The sequence below is a fragment of the Homo sapiens genome, chromosome 18, assembly GCF_000001405.40.
Source record: "Homo sapiens chromosome 18, GRCh38.p14 Primary Assembly".
In the NCBI taxonomy this organism is placed as follows: Eukaryota; Metazoa; Chordata; class Mammalia; order Primates; family Hominidae; genus Homo; species Homo sapiens.
This window is the reverse complement of record NC_000018.10, coordinates 24081324-24100959: the sequence shown is the minus strand read 5'-3', so window position 1 is coordinate 24100959 and position 19636 is coordinate 24081324. Positions and strand designations below refer to the sequence as shown.

The window sequence follows — 19636 nt, the reverse complement described above, 5'->3', positions numbered from 1 at the left end:
AAAGCCTGGGAGAAGTCCCAGGATATCCCAATTAACCCAACACAGAACCTCTTTTCATGGGACATGTACTAACAGGCCATCAAATCAGTGAGACTGGGCTGGTGCTTCAGAAAACCCTGACTTATTCCAACCCTCTAACATTCCTGGTGAATAAAAAGAACACCAGAGAAGGTCCACTGGCTTGAGGTCTCCCACCTCTTTCAAACTGCCTGACGTGAAAGCAACCATTAGGAAATAATTTTTACTGTTTATGGCAGAGCCAAAGCTAGAAACCAGATCCACAGACTTCTAGTCCAATGTTCTCTCTACAATGCCACACACTAAAAACTGAAGCTCGGAAGCCCTATGTCAATAAATGCCCTCCACTCTGGCCACAACCCTAAGAAGAGTCACACTGCAGTGCCACTGTCATTACAGCCAACGACTGGGCACTCACTCCAAGCCTTGTGCTGCACACGCCTCCTGGGTTGCCTCACTGAATCCTAACAGCTAAACTGGGCCAAGATACCACTGGGATCCCCATCTCACTGAGGAGGGAAGCAAGGCTTAAAGAGGTGAAGGGCCAAGGTCACTCGGCCAGAGTGGAGGGGCCAGGATTCATCCCAACAGTGGCCTCCAGGGGTGAGCCCTAAACCCTGAGCTTCTGCCAGGCGGAGGACAAGGGCCACAGACTCAGAGTAGGCCTTCCACACAGGTTATTAAAGGATGTAAGATGAATCATAATCATAATCAGATAATTAAGACACATCACAATGAACATTTAATAAAACCTTCAGGCTCCCTAAACACCCTGAATGTGATCAAATCCCTAATCCCAGAACACAAATATCCAACTATTCTAATACAACAAATGTGTTATGATAAACTATTAAGAAAAACTGTAAAACAAGCTAAGTTAAGGGAAACTAGAAACGATGGAAATTTTAAAATGAGTTGATTAAAAAAATCAATCTCTCTCTCTCAAAACCAATATGATAATCCAAAAGCTTAATCATAAAATTAAGAAAACACAAATTAGTCTAATAAAATAATATCACATTTTTACAGATCTGAAACTAGTATTAAGTTATATGTTTGGAAAGTAATAACTAGAAATGGAAAACTATAATATAAAACTAAAATGGATATAAGTAAATATATATTAACATTACAGAAGAAATAAGGGAAGTTATTAAAAAACTGATTTCAAAAGGGAATTTCACAGCAGTAAGTTACATAAGAACTCCTTCCAATGTTTAATGGCAGTTTAATTACTTTAAGTGATCTGTTTCTCCAAAATATGGAGATATAAGAAAGCATATAAAAAAGATACGCTTTTAGCCAAATCATTAAAAACAAATCAGGTCTATTCCTAAAGCCTAGTAAACACAAGTCCCAGAAATATTTATATTCACATTTAAATACATACATATATATATTAATTGCTAAGTTACATATATCAGTTATATATTATATATAACATTGTTATGGAATGCTCCTGCCTCACAAAATTGATACATGAAATCCTAACCCTCACTGGAACTGTATTAGGAGGTGGGAGTTTTGTGAGGTAATCAGATCATGAGGGTGGAGCCCTCATGAATGCAATTTGTGCCCTCATAAAAGAGACCCCTGAGTGCTCTCTAGCCCCCTTTCCACCATCTGAGGACACAGTGAGAAGCCATCATCTATGAACCAGGACATGGTCCTCACTAGACACCCAATCTTCTGGCACCTGGATCTCATGCCTCCAGAACTGTGAGAAATAAAAGTGTGTTGTTTTAGTCACCCAATCTATAGTATTCTTTTATAGCAGCCCAAACTAAGACACACACATACACACACACACACACACACACACACACACGTTTTATATATATATATGTATATATGTTATATATATGTATATATGTTATATGTATATACGTGTATAGATATATATATACACACACACACACACACACACACACACACATTCCTCTAACTTATTAGCAAATAAAAGCAGTGGGATATACTAGAAAAAACACTCGATTAAAAAAAGAAAGCCTGGGCTGGGCGCAGTGACTCATGCCTGTAATCCCAGCACTTTGGGAGGCCAAGGCAGGAGGATCACTTGAGGTCAGGAGTTCGATACCAGCCTGGCCAACATGGCAAAACCCCGTCTCTACTAAGAATACAAAAATTAGCCAGGTGTGGTGTTGGGCACCTGTACTCCCAGCTACTCAGGAGGCTGAGGCAGGAGAATTGCTTGAACCGGGAGGCAGAGGTTGCAATGAACCAAGAACGCACCACTGCACTCCAGCCTGGGTGATAGAGCGAGACTCCATCTAAAAAGAGATGAAAAAGAGACAAACAGAAGAGAAGAGAAAAGAAGAAAGAAAGGGAGGGAGAGAGGAAAAGAAAGCAAGAAAGGGAGAGGAGAGGAGAGGAGAGGGGAGGGGAGGGGAGGGGAGGGGACGGGAGGGGAGGGGAGAGGAGAGGATAGGAGAGGAGAGGGAAGGGAGAGGAGAAAAGAAAGGAAAGGAAAGGAGAAAGGAAAGAAAGGAAAGGAGGAAGGAAGGAAGGAGGGAGGGAGGGAGGGAGGGAGGGAGGGAGGGAAGGAAAAGAAAGGAAAGAAAGAAAGCCTGAATTCTAGGTCTTCCTTAATCCTAAAATAACTATGTACACTTTCACAAAGTACTTATCTCATCTGGACCCCTGCTTGCTATATACGACAGGACAGACATATGCAAAAATTTTATAGTCAAAATGGGAGAAATAAAAGGTGACATGACTAAATGAAGACATATCCTCAGTGACTGATAAGAAATATTATAAACATAGTATCAATTTAAATTTCCCATTAACAGAGAACCTGAGAAACTGATAGTTATGTATATATGTGAGAGAACAAGTGGATAAAAAATAATATAATATATATTTAAAAGGCAATCATGATATTCTTGTTTTATTTAAGACATAGGCAGGGTCTTCAAAATGGTCATAGAAAATGTGCATTATAATAAAACTATGCATGAATTTCAAATTTTTTTACACCAAAATAAGCCCATACTAACTTGCTATAACATGTCTGAGCAGGATCTAGTTTGAGGCACTAAGAAGCATAAGACATCAACTTGAAAAGAGCCCCTATCAGAGCAACATAAATTCTGCATTTAAATGGAAGCAAGAACAAACATAAAACCTATGGTGAAGCTTGGGTGAAAGAATGGTGAAATCACTGACACTTTACAAAAAGTTTATAGGAATAATTCCCCAAAGAAATCAGCAGTTTGCAAATGTATAAGTTTACGAAGGGCCAAGACGATGTTGAAGATGAAGCCCATGGTGGCAGACCATCTACACAGATTTGCAAAGAAAATATTAATCTTGTTCATGCCCTAATTGAAGAGGACTATAAATAATAGCCAACACCATAGACATCTCAATTGGTTCAGCTTACACCATTCTGACCAAAAAAGATGAGCAAAGTTTCACTTGATGGGTGCCAAAACCACTGCACCCAGATCAGCTGCAGACATGGGCACAGCTTTCAATGGAAATTGTAAATAAGTGGGATCAAGATCCTGAAGTGTTTCTTCAAGGAACTGTAATAGGAGATGAAATGTGGATTTACCACTACAATCCTGAAGACAAAGCACAATCTAAGCAATGGCTACAAAGAGGTGGGAGTGGCCTAGTCACAGCAAAGACAGCAAGAGCAAAGGTGATGGCAACAGTTTTTTTGGGATGCTCAAGGCATTTTGCTTGTTGATTTTCTGGGCGTGGGGACAAAGAATGATAACATCTGCTACTTATGAGATTGTTTTAAGAAAGTTAGCCAAAGGTTTAGCAGCAAAACACCCCGGACAGCTTCACCAGAGAGTCCTCCACTGTGACAATGCTCCTGTCCATTCCTCTCATCGAAAAAGGCCAATTTTGTGAGAATTTCCTTGGGAATCATTAGGCATTCACCTTACAGTCCTGATTTGGCTCCCTTTGACTTCTTGTTTCCTAATTTTAAAGGGCACCAATTTTTCTTCAGTTAATTATGTAAAAAAGACTGCACTGACATGGTTAAATTCCCAGGACCCACAGTTCTTTAAGGATGGACTAAATGGCTGGTATCATCGCTTACAAAAGAGTCTGGAACTTGGTAGAGCTTATGTTGATAAAGTTTATGTTTTATAATTTTATCTTTTAATTCCATTTGTCAATGAAGTTTTTGAAGTCCCCTTATCACAATTATCAAAGCTATATAATATTCACTTAAAAAGTATACAGATAAAATATAAAAAGTAAAAAGAAAGATTTTATCTATTTTAAGAATTTGATTCAATGACAGGAAGAGAAAATACCCTCGAAACAAACGCACATCCCTGATTTACAGAAGGGATCAGAATAAAACCATATGTACATCTCATACATGCAAAGAGGCATGAAAATACAGTAAGATAGTTTTTAAACATCCGTTTACAATTTAAAAACAGAATAGTCTATAAATCTTAGTTTGGGATGGAAGATAAATTTCATTTCTGGAGAAATGAGTCTATCATTATAACAACAATGTGAATATGTCTGAATGTTCAAAGTTCCTACGATTAAAGGCAATGTTAATTCTCACAATGAAAGTAATAGACAGAAAATATAATTAACTTCACTAATATTTATATTATACATTTAGAATTTGGACAAATATATAAGAAATACAGGCATGCCTCATTTTATTGCACTTCACAGATACCACTTTTTTTCTTTAACAAATTGAAGGTGTGTGGCAACCCTGCCATGAATAAGTCCATTGGCATCATTTTTCCAACAGTATGAGCTCACTTCGTGTCTCTGTGTCACATTTTGGTAATTCTCCCAATACTTCAAATTTTTCATGACTGCTATATTTGTTATGGTGATCTATGATCAGTGATCTTTGATGTTACTATTTTAATTGTTTTGGAGCACCACAAACCATGCCCACATAAGACAACAAACTTAGTTGATAAATGTTGTGTGTGATCTGGCTGCTCCACTAACCAGCCATTCCCCCTTCTTTCTCCCTCTCCTTGGGCCCCCCATTCCCTAAGACGCATTAATTGAGGTTGATTAATAACCCTACAATGGCCTCTGAGTGTTCAAGTGAAAGGAAGAACTGTAAGTCTCTCACTTTAAATCAAAAGCTAAAAATGATTAAGCTTAATGAGGAAGGCATGTTGAAAGCTGAGAAAGGCTGGAAGTTAGGTGCCTTATGCCAGTTAGCCAAGCTGTGAATGCAAAGGAAAAGTTTTTTTTTGTTTGTTTGTTTTTTGAGGCGGAGTTTCACTCTTGTCGCCCAGGCTGGAGTGCAATGATGCAATCTCGGCTCACTGCAACCTCTGCCTCCCAGGTTCTATCAATTCTCCTGCCTCAGCCTCCCAAGTAGCTGGGATTACAGGTATGTGCTACCATGTCCCGCTAATTTTTGTATTTTTAGTAGAGATGGGGTTTCACCATGTTAGCCAGGTTGGTCTCGAACTCCTGATCTCAGGTGATCTGCTGGCCTCAGCCTCCCAAAGAGCAGGGATTACAGGCATGAACCACTGCGCCCAGCTGAAAAGTTCTTGAAAGAAATTACAAGTGCTATTCCAGTGAACACATGAATGATAAGAAAGCAAATCAGCATTACTGCTGATACGAATAAAGTTTTAGTGGTCTGGATAGAAGATCAAACCAGCCACAACATTCCTTTAAACCAAAGCCTCATCCAGAGCAAGATCCTAACTCTCTTCAATTCTTTGAAGGCTGACAGAGGTGAGGAAGCTGTAGAAGAAAAGCCCAAGGTTGGCAGAGGTTGGTTCATGAGGTTTAAGGAAAGAAGCCGTCTCCATAACAGAAAAGTGCAAGGTGAAGCAGCAAGTGCTGATGGAGAAGCCATAGCAAGAAAACCAGAAGATCTAGCTAAGATCATTGATGAAGGAGGCTATACTAAACAACAGACTTTCAGTGGAGACAAAGCAGCCTTCTATTGGAAGAAGATGCCATCTAGAATTTTCATAGCTTGAGAAGTCCATGTTTGGCTTCAAAGCTTCAAAGGATAGGGTGACTCTCTTCTAAGAGGCTAATTCAGCTGGTGACATTAAGTTGAAGACAATGCTCACTTAACATTTTGAAAATCATAGGGCCCTTCAGAATTAGGCTATATCTACTCTTCCTCTTCCTGTGTTCTATAAATGGAAAAAGAAAGCCTGAATGACAGCACATCTGTTTATAATATGGTTTACTCAGTATTTTAAGCACACTGTTGGGACATACTTCTCAGAATAAAAAAGATTCCTTTCAAAGCATTGCTGCTTACTGATAATGTATGTGGCCACCCAAGAGCTCTGATGGAGATGTACAATGAGATATAATGTTGTTTTCATGTCTGTTAACACAACATCCATTCTGCAGCTCATGGAACAAGGAGTAGTTTTGACTTTCAAGTCTTATTATTTAAGAAATACATTTGATAAGGCTATAGCTGCCATAGACATGGCTTCCTCTGATGGATCTGAGCAAAGTAAATTGAAAACCCTCTGGAAAGGATTTACCATTGTAAACACCATTAAGAACATGGATTCATAGAAGGAGGTCAAAATAACATTAATGGGAGTTTGCAAGAAGTTACTTCCAACCCTCCTAGATGTCTTTGAGAGGTTCAAGACTTCAGTGGAGGAAGAAACAGCCAATGTGGTAGAAATAGCAAGAAAACTAGAATCAGAAGTGGAGCCTGAAGATGGGACTGACTTGTTGCAATCGCAGGACAAAACATGAAGAGATGGGAGGGGCTTAAGATGAGTGAGAAAAGAAAATGGTTTCTTGAGATGGCATCTCCTGGTGAAGATGCTGTGAACCCTGCTGAAATGACAACAAAAGACTTAAAATAACACATAGACTTAGTTGATAAGGCAGTGGTAAGGTTTGAGAGAATTGACTTAATTTTGAAAGAAGTCCTACTGTAGGTAAAATGCTATCAAACAGCATCACATTCTACAGAGAAATCATTCGTGAAAGGAAGAGTCAATCGGCGGGGTAAACTTCACTGTTGCCTTACTTCAAGAAATTGCCACAGCCACCCCCACCTTCAGCAACCACCATCCTGATCAGCCAGTAGCCATCGACATCTAGGCAACACCCTCCACCAGCCAAAAGATTACGACTTGCTGAAGGCTCAGATGATTGATAGTTTTAGCAATAAAGTTTTTTAATTAAGGTATACACATTGTATTTTTAGACATAATGCTACTGCACACTTAACAGACTACAGTGCAATGTAAACTTAACTTTTATATGCACTGGGAAACCAAAAAATTCATGTGACTCACTATATTGTGATATTTGCTTTAGTGCAGTGGTCTAGAACCAAACCCGCAATGTCTCTGATGTATGCCTGTATATCTTAGTTGAAAGTCATCAAACTTGGTTTAATCAGTAGCTTATATCCGAAGAAAAAGAGATTGTATAAAATCATACAGAAAATGCACACTCTCAATACTTTTTTTTTTTTTTTTGAGACAGAGTCTCACTCTGTCACCCAGGCTGGAGTGCAGTGGCACGATCTAGGCTCACTGCAACCTCTGCCTCCTGGGTTCACGCCATTCTCCTGCCTCAGCCTCCCAAGTAGCTGGGACTACAGGCGCCCGCCACCACGCCCAGCTAGTTTTTTGTATTTGTAGTAGAGACGGGGTTTCACCATGTTAGCCAGGATGGTCTCGATCTCCTGACCTCGTGATCTGCCCGCCTCGGCCTCCCAAAGTGCTGGGATTATAGGCGTGAGCCACTGCACCCGGCCAATACTTTTATAAAACATCTTTATTGAGATAAAATTCAAAAATCACAAAATTCACCCACTTAAAGTGTACAATTTAATAAGTCTTTAGAATACTCATAGAGTAATATTATAGCTATGCAACTACTACTACAATCTAAGTTTAAAATATACATATTTTTGAAACAGGGTCTCGTGCCTTCACGGCTCACTACAGGCTCAACATCCTGGGCTCAGATGATCCTCCCACCTCAGCCTTCCAAAGAGCTGGGACTACAGCTGTGCGCCCAGCTAATTTTTTGTAGAAATGGGGTTTCGCCACATTGCCAGGCTTGTATCAAACTTCTGGGCTCAACTGGTCCACTCACCTCAGCTTCCCAAAGTGCTGAGATTACAGGTGTGAGCCATTGTGCTCTGCCTGAAATATTTTCATTCCCCCAAAGAAACTATGTACCATGTATCCATTAGCAGTCACTCCACACTGTTCCCTCACCTACCTCCACACTGAAGCAAGCAATAATCTATTTTCTGCCTCTGTAGATGTACCCGTCCTAAAGATGTCATATAAATGGAATCATATAGTATATGGTCTTTGTGACTGACTTTTTACACATAACATGTTTTCAAGGTTCCTCCATGCTATAGTATGTATCTGTACTTCATTCCTTTCTATTGCTGAATAATATTCCATTGTATGAATGTATCACATGTTGTTTATCCATTCATCAGTTGATAGACATCTGAGCTGTTGCCACTTTTTGGCTATTATGGATAATAATATGGAGTGGTGTTTTTATTTCTCTTGTGCATATTCCTAGGAGTGAAATTGCTGTTTCATATAGTTTGACATTTTGAGGAACTGTTGAACTGGGTCCAGAGCAGCCACACCATTTCACATTCTCACTGGCAATGAATGAGGGTTCCAATCACTCTGCATCCTGCCCACACTTGCTATTGGCTGTCTTGCCTACTGTAGTTAGCTTGGTGGGTGTGAAACAGTAGCTTACTTGGTTTTGATTTGTTTCCTTAGTGATTTATGATACTGCCTATCTTCCTTGGAGAAATGTTTCTTCAGATCCGTTGTCTATTATTATTATTTTTTTTTTTTTTTTTTTTTTTTTTTTTTTTTGAGACTGAGTCTCACTCTGTCACCCAGGCTGGAGTGCAGTGATGCGATCTTGGTTCACTGCAAGCTCCGCCTTCAAGGTTCACACCATTCTCCTGCCTCAGCCTCCCGAGTAGCTGGGACTACAGGCGCCCGCTACCACACCTGGCTAATTTTTTGCATTTTTTTTTAGTAGAGACAGGGTTTCATCATGTTAGCCAGGATGGTCTCGATCTCCTGACCTCGTGATCTGTCCGCCTTGGCTTCCCAAAGTGCTGGGATTACAGGCGTGAGCCACCGCGCCTGCCCCCATTGTCCATTTTTAAATTGGCTTGTCTTTTTATTATTGAGTTGTAACAGTTCTTTACATATTCAGAATACAAGTCCCGTATCAGATATATAACTTGCAAATATTTTCTCCCATTCTATGGGTTGTCTTTTCACTTTCTTGATTGTATTGTTTATAGCGCAAATGTTTCATTTTGATGTAGTTCAATTTATTTATTCTTTTGTCATTGTGCTTTTAGTGTCATGTCTAGGAAACCAAGGCCTAACCCAAGGGTTCTACAGTTTTAGATCTTACATTTAGGTCTATGATCCGCTTTGAGTTAATTTTCTTGTATAGTATAAGGGTCCAACTTCATTCTTTTGCATCTGTGAATACTCAGTTGTCCCAGCACATGGTCTGGCTTTGTCACCCAGGCTGGAGTGCAGTGGCATGATCTCTGATTACTGCAACCTCCATCCCCCGGGCTCAAGCCATCCTACCACCTCAGCCTCCTGAATAGCTGGGCCTACAGATGTGCACTACCACACCTGGCTAATTTTTGTAGAGATGGGGTTTCAACACAGCCCATGATGGTCTCAAACTTGTGAGCTCAAGCAATCTGCCTGCCCTGGCCTCCCAGAGTGCTGGGATTATAGGCATTGAGCTACTGTGCCTGGCTGAAAAGACTATTCTTTGCCCACTGACGTGTCTTGATGTCCATGTCAAAGCAAATTGATCATAAGGCCGGGCGTGGCGGCTTACGCCTGTAATCCCAGCACTTCGGGAGGCCGAGGCGGACAGAGAACCTGAGGTCAGGAGTTCGAAAACAGCCTGGCCAACGTGGTGAAACCCCATCTCCGCTAAAAATACAAAAATTAGCCAGGCATGGTGGCGCACACCTGTAGTCTCAGCTACTTGGTAGGCTGAGGCATGAGAATCGCTTGAACCTGGGAGGTGGAGGTTGCAGTGAGCTGAGATCATGCCACTGCACTCCAGCCTGGGTGACAGAGCAAGACTCTGTCTCCAAAAAAAAAAAAAAAAAAAAAAAAAAGTAAATTAATCATAAATGTAAGATTTATTTCACAATTCTCACTGATCCATATGTCTATTCTTATGCTCGTACCACACTGTCTTGATTACTTTGTAGTAAGTTTTGAGAGTAGGAAGTGGAGTTTTCTTTTTCCACTTTCCATTTTTTCCTTCTTTCTCAATATTATTTTGGCTATTTTGGGGCCCTTGAGTTTAGGATCAGTTTGTTAATCTCTGCAAAAAAAAATAAAATGCTGTGATTGTGACAGACACTGCATTCAATCTGTAGCTCAATTAGGAAAGTACTGCCATCTTAACAATACTGAGAGTTCTGATACAAAACATGGATATCTTTTCAGCAGTATTTTTAAAAATGTTAAACTGCTTTAATTTGTATCATTATGGAAATAAAAATAGGCAAACAAAACTATGGGGTAGAGTAGATACCATGCATAAAATAATGAATAATTATATTCTGGCCCCCTATTTCTTGAGAATTTCTCATCATTTAAGAGCTACACAGAGCTGTTTATAGACCTTGATTTTAGCAATGCTACCACTGGAGCTATAATCTAATAAGGAGCTAAAAATATATATACTGAAATATTTATTGCAGTACTTGCTATCACATTGAAATATTGGGAAACAACAGTCAAATATCCCAGCCACAATTTCCCAACAACAGGAAAATAGTAGATTATTAACACAAGGGAAATCTAAGTAGTCTGCCTGCATGTCAATTATTTACTTAAAAAATTATGTTAATACTTGTAAACATCAGATTTGTAAACAAAATGCAGAAAGTCTCGTATGTATAAAGATTACAAAATAATTTTAAGTAAAACAGCTTAGAATGTAATTATCACTAGGTTACTTTTATGACATTGCTTAACATCTTAAAATAATTATGTATGTGTTTTGAAATGAGAGGATCTCCTTGTCACCTGTAGCAAGCAGAAGGACACACTGCAACAACCCACTTACTTACAGGCAATTCAGCACTAATGCTGCTGAGTGGCAGAATCGCTTTAGCAATATTGCTAGAAAGGTCACCTAGCAATAGATTATGCTTTTGCCCCCTACCCTTAGGACCATGTAGGCAAGGGAAAGCTCATCCTCTTAGGCACACATAATAAGCTTAGGGATATAAATCAATATTAACCTTCTACTTGCTTTTCAACCCAACAGATAGGTAGGGTTAAAAGGACAGCAAGTGTAGTGGGGTTACTAACATCTTCTCATTTCGGTAAACGGTCATTAAGCCACACAATATGGATTTATCTCACTGGAAAGTGAGATACAAATACATCCTTCATATCCTCTACACCAAATTAGATCAATCTCTCATTTTGTATAGTTCTAAAAATAAACAGAAACCTCCTTTTTTGGTGCCTGAGCATTAACAGAACCACGTAGGATGCAGGAAGAGAAGACTACAATGAACAGAACTTTAGGGAATTATTTCTCTTCCTGCATTGCCTTTTTCCTGATCCTATAAATAAAAACATTACATCATGCTGACAAGGCATGCTGTTCCAAATACAAGAGGCAGGCTTGCCCTTCAACAGATGCAAAGAAACACAGCCACCAAACAGCTCTGATAATGTCAACGTACCCTAGAGATGGGGGACAGCACAGGCCCTTCTGCACTGGCCATATTCTCCATGATCCCCCGGGGTCTCCCTGTTCTTTCTTCTATCTGATAAATAAATCACCAAAGGGGTCAACGTCTGCTCTCCTGTCCCTGTCACAATGATGAACTGATGGGCTGAAGAATCACAGAGACCTCCCACTAATTCTGGGGGTCACTGATGGAAACTGGAACTTTATCTTAATAAACATACAGAAAGAAAACACTAAAGCCCACTTTTAAAAGGCACCTCTCACAGTTGATGGCACCCGAAGTCATGGATGGAAGTAAGGTCCAGAGACAGAACACAGGCACGCCGGGGATAGAAGTGTAAAGAAAGTCTTTCACACAGAGCTTCGTAGGGAATTGAAAATGAGGGGGAAGAACCTCCACCCTCTTGAAAGGAACCAGCAAACCTGGGTGACATGAATATGGCGACGTAAAGGTCAAGCATCAAAGCCATCCCCACAGACACTGAGAGGGTTTGGGGGAAGCACATCCTATCACTGTCCCTTTCTCAGCAGGAACGGAGTGAGGGAAGGGGAGGACACAACAGAGTGGTGGACGGGCAGAGAGGGCTGTGTCTCTTCTGAAAAAACAAACAAGGCAGCTTCAAATAGGAGAAAGATTATATAATGAGGCTCCAAGGGCAGGACCATAGCTACTTGATGACTTCAACGTTGCAGGACTCCCTAGCCTTTACTGCAATCCGAACTGTTCCATTCTTGACTCCCTACAGACGATACTGCCCATATATCTGGAGCTCACTCAGAGCCAAGAGCTGCAGATGAGGTGAAGACACCAACATGATTTTTACCTATGTCTGTGTGTATGTTAACATCTATTTGCATGTATGTGTATGTGACAAATATACACCAATACAAATATAACAGATAAAGTTCATTTAATGTATTTACTTTTTTACTTCAATTAAATTTAATTCAGTTCTTTATAATCCCATCTTTGAAATAAAAATGTGACTCTCAAGAAATGAAACTGATTGTTTAGCCAGCATACTGGAATTTAAATAGCTGATTTGGTCCCCTTCTTAGGAGATCATCTTCTTATTTCAATTATCAAGACATTTTTACAACTTCTTCTTTGGAACTGACTTCAGAAACACATTTAGGTGCCACAAGAAAAGTAAATAGTCCTTGATAACCAACATCATTTCTGAAAAAAGAAATGACATACAGCAATAGATTTTTCTACCAGTAGCTTCATCTATTCATTCAGCCAACATACATTGAGGGCCAGTCCTGTGCTAGGCCCAGATTTCGATTTCCAAAAACCAAACCTAAGGCTTTAAAATGTCAGCATGCAGGATATTCACAACGTATGGGCTCAAGCTCAGGAGACTGTTTCAAAATAAAGGTCAGGAGCTTGAGACCAGCCTAGCCAACATGGTGAAACCCCATCTCTACTAATAATACAAAAATCAGCCAGGCATGGTGGTGCACACCTGTAATCCCAGCTACTCGGGAGGCTGAGACAGGAGAATCACTTGAACCCGGGAGGCGGAGGTTGCAGTGAGCCAAGATTGCACCACTGTACTCCAGCCTGGGTGACAGAGCAAGACTCTGTCTCAAAAAAAAACAAAAAAAAAACAGTTCTCAAAATGCTTGCATAGGAACTTTGTTAGAATATGTTCATTAACTTTATAGAAAACGACTTTCATTTATTTGAATATCTGAACACTTTTTTAGAGGTAAATAATATTAAAAATTAGTTACATTACTAGTCACACCATATAAGGTATGTGTGTGAAAGTATGTATTTACAGAAAACCAAATCCTTACATGTCACATACAAAGCAGATTGTTAAAGCTGAAAGAGAAAAAAGTTGTGTAAATCTGTATTGCTTAAAGAAGAAAGAGCAGAGACAACTGAAAACAGTTTATGAAAATATAGACTTGTCCCTAATATTGTAAAAATAATCAAGAAAAATACTCATTAATTGCTTGTATCTTAATGGACATAACACTACCATAGGTCTAACTGAATGAAAATTAAGTGAACATTAATGGAAAATACAGAAATTCAAAATTATAACTACCAATTCACATTTGAAAATTGAGATTCCTATATAACCCATTGGTCAGCCTCCCAAACATTGTTTGCATTGTGGAAATTCAGGGATAAGTAAACAGCTGTATAGTACATACATCTCCTATAGCTACACCCATAACCAATTTTGCCAATCACAGGCCTTGCTTTATTGACAGCTCTCAACACCAAACAAGTTCTTTTTCCCCAAAAGAAAAAAAAAAACAAAACACGAAAATGTGATACCTGACTTCCCATGCTTAAGCACTCAGTAGGAATAATAAACACCATCACACCCTTACTTAGACAGCGTTTGCCACATGCTAGGTACTGTATTCACACATTCATTCCCCCCAGCAATGTAGTAAGTCACATGGGAGGAGTCAAGGAAAATAGGATCAGCTGTAAGGACAACACAAGTGGGCAGAGAAGGTTCGAGGCACAGTACTATAGACACGCAGTGGGGAGAAGCGGAGGCAGCGAGACAAGGGAATTCTTTCTGCAGTTTGGCAAAGAGGATCCTGTGCTCACCAGCTGGGGTGCAAACGGACCTCACCATCATGGTGTAGCACTCACTGCAACATCAACTGAGGCCATAACAGAAAACAGCCAAGTCACCACAATGAGGTTTATGCAAGTGGCACGACAGGAGCAGATCTGTGGAAGAAATCCTCCTATATTCACTCTACAGAGTCCCAAACAACGAAAGGCAAAGTACGTAAAAAGTTAACAAAACTAAAAGAAAAAGTGGGCACTCAACAGGATTTGAAAATAACGAGTACAGAAGAATGAACACTGACGGGCACAGATTGAGACAGTCACCCTGCATGTTAGCAAGCTTACACAAAAGCAGCTGTTCAAATAATTTCACAGATTCTGAGTCACTGAAGAAACAAAGATGGTGTCATATAATGCACCTGCCCTAAATTAAAGCCCCTAGACCATGTTCTGTGAGTACGTGTTGATAAAAAGAGCTCAAGGGGCCCTATTTCTAACCTAAATGTTCACTGAAAAGAAAAAAAATTCTTTGTAAGCAAATTCATTGGAAGGAGTCATGTAAGTTTCATAAACTGAGTCAGGGCCTTCAAGGCCTTACAAACAGCCTTTGGCAAGGGCTATATCACAGCCTCCCTGGGCAGAGTTCCTCATCTGCAAATGAAGGATGACATGGTCATTTCTGATACCGTCCTACACATACCTGGGAAGAGCAATGAAACGCTGCTGTCTGGGCACCTTGGGGATAATAACAACCATATTTCAAGTTAGCCTTAAAATCTTTTCATCCTCTGGGCCTTTGGGAAGAGCCAAACAGAAACACTCATCATATTTTGTCTGGCCCTAAAGCTACAGCTCACTAAATAACCGTAGTCACAGATCTTGTGTGTTTTTTCTTAAAACTTAACTGTGTTAAGTGCCGCTTAACTGTGAAGGAGTTCTAGCACCTACCCTCTGCACTCTGATCACAATTATCTACCCCCAAATAGACTACATATCTACTAAGAGCTATAATGTGGACTATGTACCTCCAAAAACCATATTTACAGGAATCCTTTGATGAAGCTGTGGCTTCCTTATTTCTAGAACCATCTTGACAACAAGGAATGACTGCTTATGTTTAGTATTCACTCAATCCTCTATAGGAATTAGTCGTGGCACAAACTAAAACCATGTCAAAGTAAGATTTTTGGGAAAAAAACTTATTAGCTTAACCAAAAGTTAAGCAATTTTGTTTTAAAATGAAAAATTACTCAAATGGCAAGTATAACAAAATATAAATTCTGATTTTCACATTTCTGTTTAACAACTTCAAAACCCAATTTAGAGCATTCATTCATCAGCAGAATAAAGAGAGAGAATTCTAACAAATGTCCAAAGCTAAGGGGCCTCACTGCCCTGCTGCACACAATTTTAAACTTTAGGCTTCTAGATGGATCGCTGAAGAGATGACCGAGGTAAATCTCTCAATTCTACACTTTATTCGTCAATGCACCAATTAGAAACAGTAACCTGTCACCATGAATTTACTTTCCCCTTGTAATAAATATCTGTTAAACACTAAACCCAGCAAATCTCTGTTAAACACTAAACCCTGTAGCATCGTGTTCAAAGCTACTCAGAACTTGAAGAAATCTAAATCTGCCCTTGAAGAAATCTAAATCTAAGAAAGCACTCATCCTGAGGCCAGGCACAGTGGCTCACACCTGTAATCTCAGCACTTTGGGAGGCCGAGGCTGGAGGATCTCTTGAGCCCAGGAGTTTGAGACCAGACTGGCCAAAATAGGGAGACCCCATCTCTAAAAATAAAAATTCAAAAATTAGCCAGGCATGGTGTCGCACAGCAGTAGTCCCAGCTACTTTGGAGGCTGAGGTCGGAGGATCGCTTGAGCCTGGAAGGTTGAGGCTGAGGCTGCAGTGAGCTATGACTGTGTCACTGCATGCCAGCCTGGGCAACAGGGTGAGACCCGTCTCAAAAAGGAAAAGAAAAAAAACAGTGAGAGAAAAAAGGGAGAAACACAACCAAGGGCTCACGAGCCTGTATGCAAAGAAAAACAATTGCAAGATAATGAGAACAAAAACAATTTGGACACAGGTTTAAATAATTCAGATCTTGGTGGGCTTTCTGAACTATATCTCAATTTTATTTTATATATTTATTTTTGAGATGGAGTCTCACTCTGTCACCCAGGCTGGAGTGCAGTGGCGCAATCTCGGCTCACTACAACCTCTGCCTCCCAGGTTCAAGCGATTCTCGTGTCTCAGCCTCCCAAGTAGCTGGGATTACAGGCACGTACCACCATGCCCAGCTAGTTTATTGTATTTTTCGTGGAAACAGGGTTTCACCATGTTGGCCAGGCTGGTCTCGAACTCCTGACCTCAGGTGATACACCTGCCTCAGCCTCCCAAAGTGCTGGGACTGCAGGCATGAGCCACCATGCCCAGCTTATATCTCAATTTTCAACTGCTAGTATAATCTCTAAAACACATCTTCCATATACAAAGCACTTAGAAAACTGCTCTGCATGGTCTTCAGATTTAAGGAGTCACTTTATGAAGGAGAAAAATGACTGGGAAAGTAATATACACTCCACTGCCTGCATCCCCACCCCCAAAAAAACAAATTATTCCTGTGCCCATGAAAGCATTTCTAGGCAAAAATCTTCAAAAGGACTCATGGGGGCTGATTTCTCAGAGTGCCTGGTTAACTGGAGGACAGATGTTGTTAAAATCTCAAACTGATTCCCTGATAACTCTTGGTAACAATGTAGATGGAGCAGCTACTATAACAGCTATCTTATTTCATAGGTATGATTAATTTCTTATAGTTTCATTTTTCTACAAATCCTCATAACCTCAAACAAGCAGATAAAAAGATATGCAAAGGAGAAGTAGACTCCAAAGGCCAGCGCATTTCTGGTTCTGGAGTGAGACAACCCAGGCTCACTCACTGGGCAAGCACAGGAAGTTGCTTGAAGCCCTCTTAGATCCCTGTTTATTTTTTCTATAACATGCAGATGACAATTTTACACCTATGTCACAGGGTTGTTCTGAGGATGAAATGGAAAAGCGTGTATAAAGTTCTTAACGCAGTACTGAGCCAAATTAAGCACATGAAAATGTGATAAAAGCTCCTAGTATTTCAAAGCTCATGTTGCCCTGATATTTAAGGCAGTAACTTTTGTATAAGTCAATTGTTAGCCAAGATCAAAGTTTAGAAAGAGATTATTAGTAATTCAGAGAGGGAAAAAAATTGTATTTTGTATTTTTCAACTCAGCAACTAAATAATGCTCACGTGCCTTAGGCTGGAAGTGCACCAATCTTGTGTCATTAGCAATGAGGAATCTTACCCCTACTTCGCCCACATCTTCCGAACAGAAGGTAACTGACTAACATCCTGGGTTCCTGGAAGAGTCTTCCCTAGCAAAGACACAAGGAAAGGCAAAAGAACAAAATGCTCCGGGGCCCTGGGACATTCTGGCTCGTTTTAATACCAGTCCTCAAGTGAGAATCAGAGATTTGATCATCGGAGGCTTTATTTTAAAAAGATGAGGAAGGTACAGTACCTCTAGTCGTTGTATCCGTCCCTTGAAAAACATAAAGAGGGAAGAATTTGGATAAGCAGCTTCTTTTTTAAGGAGAATTTCCTTAGCTTCATCCAGGCCTGCCTTGTTATCACTGCCATCCAAGGCAAAAAACGGGCGGACTACAGTATGATACCAGAGCAGAGCTAATCTAGAGGAAGAGGGAGAGAAACATTGAGCACATTAACTTTCCTTACACCATTTCCATTTTTCAAAACTCCAGTATGTGTTCTTCCAATACTACTCTATCCAAAAAGCTTACTATGCAGTCTCTGAAGAAGTAAAATCAGAGACTTTCCCCATTTTAATGTTAATATTTGGAAAACTGCAACTTTAGCACAATATATAAATCAGAAGACACCCTTCCCTCAGGGGAGAAGAGAATAAAGTAACAGGAGCATTTAGCTTTTCTGAGCCTTCTAGATGGATCGCTGAAGAGATGGCTGACATAAATCTCTGAATTCTACACTTTACTCATTAATGCACCAATTAGAAATGGTAACTAGTCACCATGAGTTTACCGTTCCCTTGTAATAAAAGCTTTATTTATTTATTTTTGGCAAAAGGAAAATGTTGTTTTCTCTTGCGTTCACAAAACTTAGGGTATAAACCTAGAATCTAAGTTTAAATATCATGCACAAATAAATAGGTCAAAAGGAAAAAGAAAATTTATAAAAAAGAATAAATTTAAATATGGAAACCACAGACACAAATTATACTAAGTTGGGTTAAAATAAGTGAGGGGATAAGACAAAGGGCTCTTTCTCTGGCCTTTGAAGATGTTCAATTTAAAAAACAAGCAAATAAATAAATTACTTCAGACTCCCTTGCTCCAAACTCATTATTTAAAAAAAAAAATGGCCATGTTAAACTAGGTAAACAAAACAGAGTCACTGGGATTTGTAATCCTAGCTACTTGGGAGACTGAGGCAGAATTGCTTGAACCGGGACCCGGGAGGCAGAGGTTGCAGTGAGCCGAGATCGCGCCACTGCACTCCACCCTGGGCTACAGAGCAAGACTCTGTCTCAAAAAAAAAAAAAAAAAAAACAACAGCCAGACAAAAATGTTTAACCAACATGTCAAATATTTTTATGTAAATGCATACTTCTGGTGTGCTTATAAATTTGGTTCTCTTATGGAGCTCATACTAATGACACTATTAATTCTATTCATTTCTTTATCAGAGATAAGCATAAAATATTAAGATATAAACAGACAAATGATCACAAGTTAACAAACCTATTAATTCACATTAATAAAGGACAACTGTGTACTTCAATGAGTTTAGGGAGGCATAATTTTTTTAAATGAAAAATTAATGGTATTTTAAATAGCTATCAGTTGATTAAGAGTTAACATCCAAATTTCTCAATACTGATACAAGTAGAAATAGAGGTAAGGTCCTCTATGATATCAACATTTTTGGGGAAAATTTTGACAAGTGCTGTAATGTTAGACAAAGAATATCCGGAATCGTGTTAAATTACTCAAGTTACAAATGGTAGATATTTGCCAGACTAAAACAAACAAACAAAAAACACATCACTTTTAACTGATGTAGAAATTGGTGAATTCTTGTTCTAGATAGTTATATCAGCTTCCTCATGCTCTCCTGCTTAAATAATTATTATTTAAGTTTAAACCAAGGAACATAACATGACTCAGTTTAGCGAAAGAGCACAAAATATCCATGTCACATATAGGAAACCACCTTGAATCATCAAGGAAAATTACCCAAT

At 39.5% G+C, this 19636-nt stretch overlaps 1 protein-coding gene across 7 annotated transcripts in view; it reads right to left on the bottom strand.

The window, feature by feature from the left end:
* The window catches only part of TTC39C (tetratricopeptide repeat domain 39C), a 142714-nt gene that overhangs the window by 34641 nt on the left and 88437 nt on the right, over positions 1-19636 (bottom strand). For 6 of the 7 annotated variants that reach the window (NM_153211.4, XM_047437297.1, XM_047437298.1 and 3 more), the window contains one exon: positions 17879-18047. In NM_153211.4, the coding sequence (NP_694943.2) occupies positions 17879-18047 (169 nt within the window). Of the gene's footprint in view, positions 1-12657; positions 12944-17878; positions 18048-19636 lie in introns of those variants that run through there. The other variant, XM_006722392.4, reaches the window with a different exon arrangement.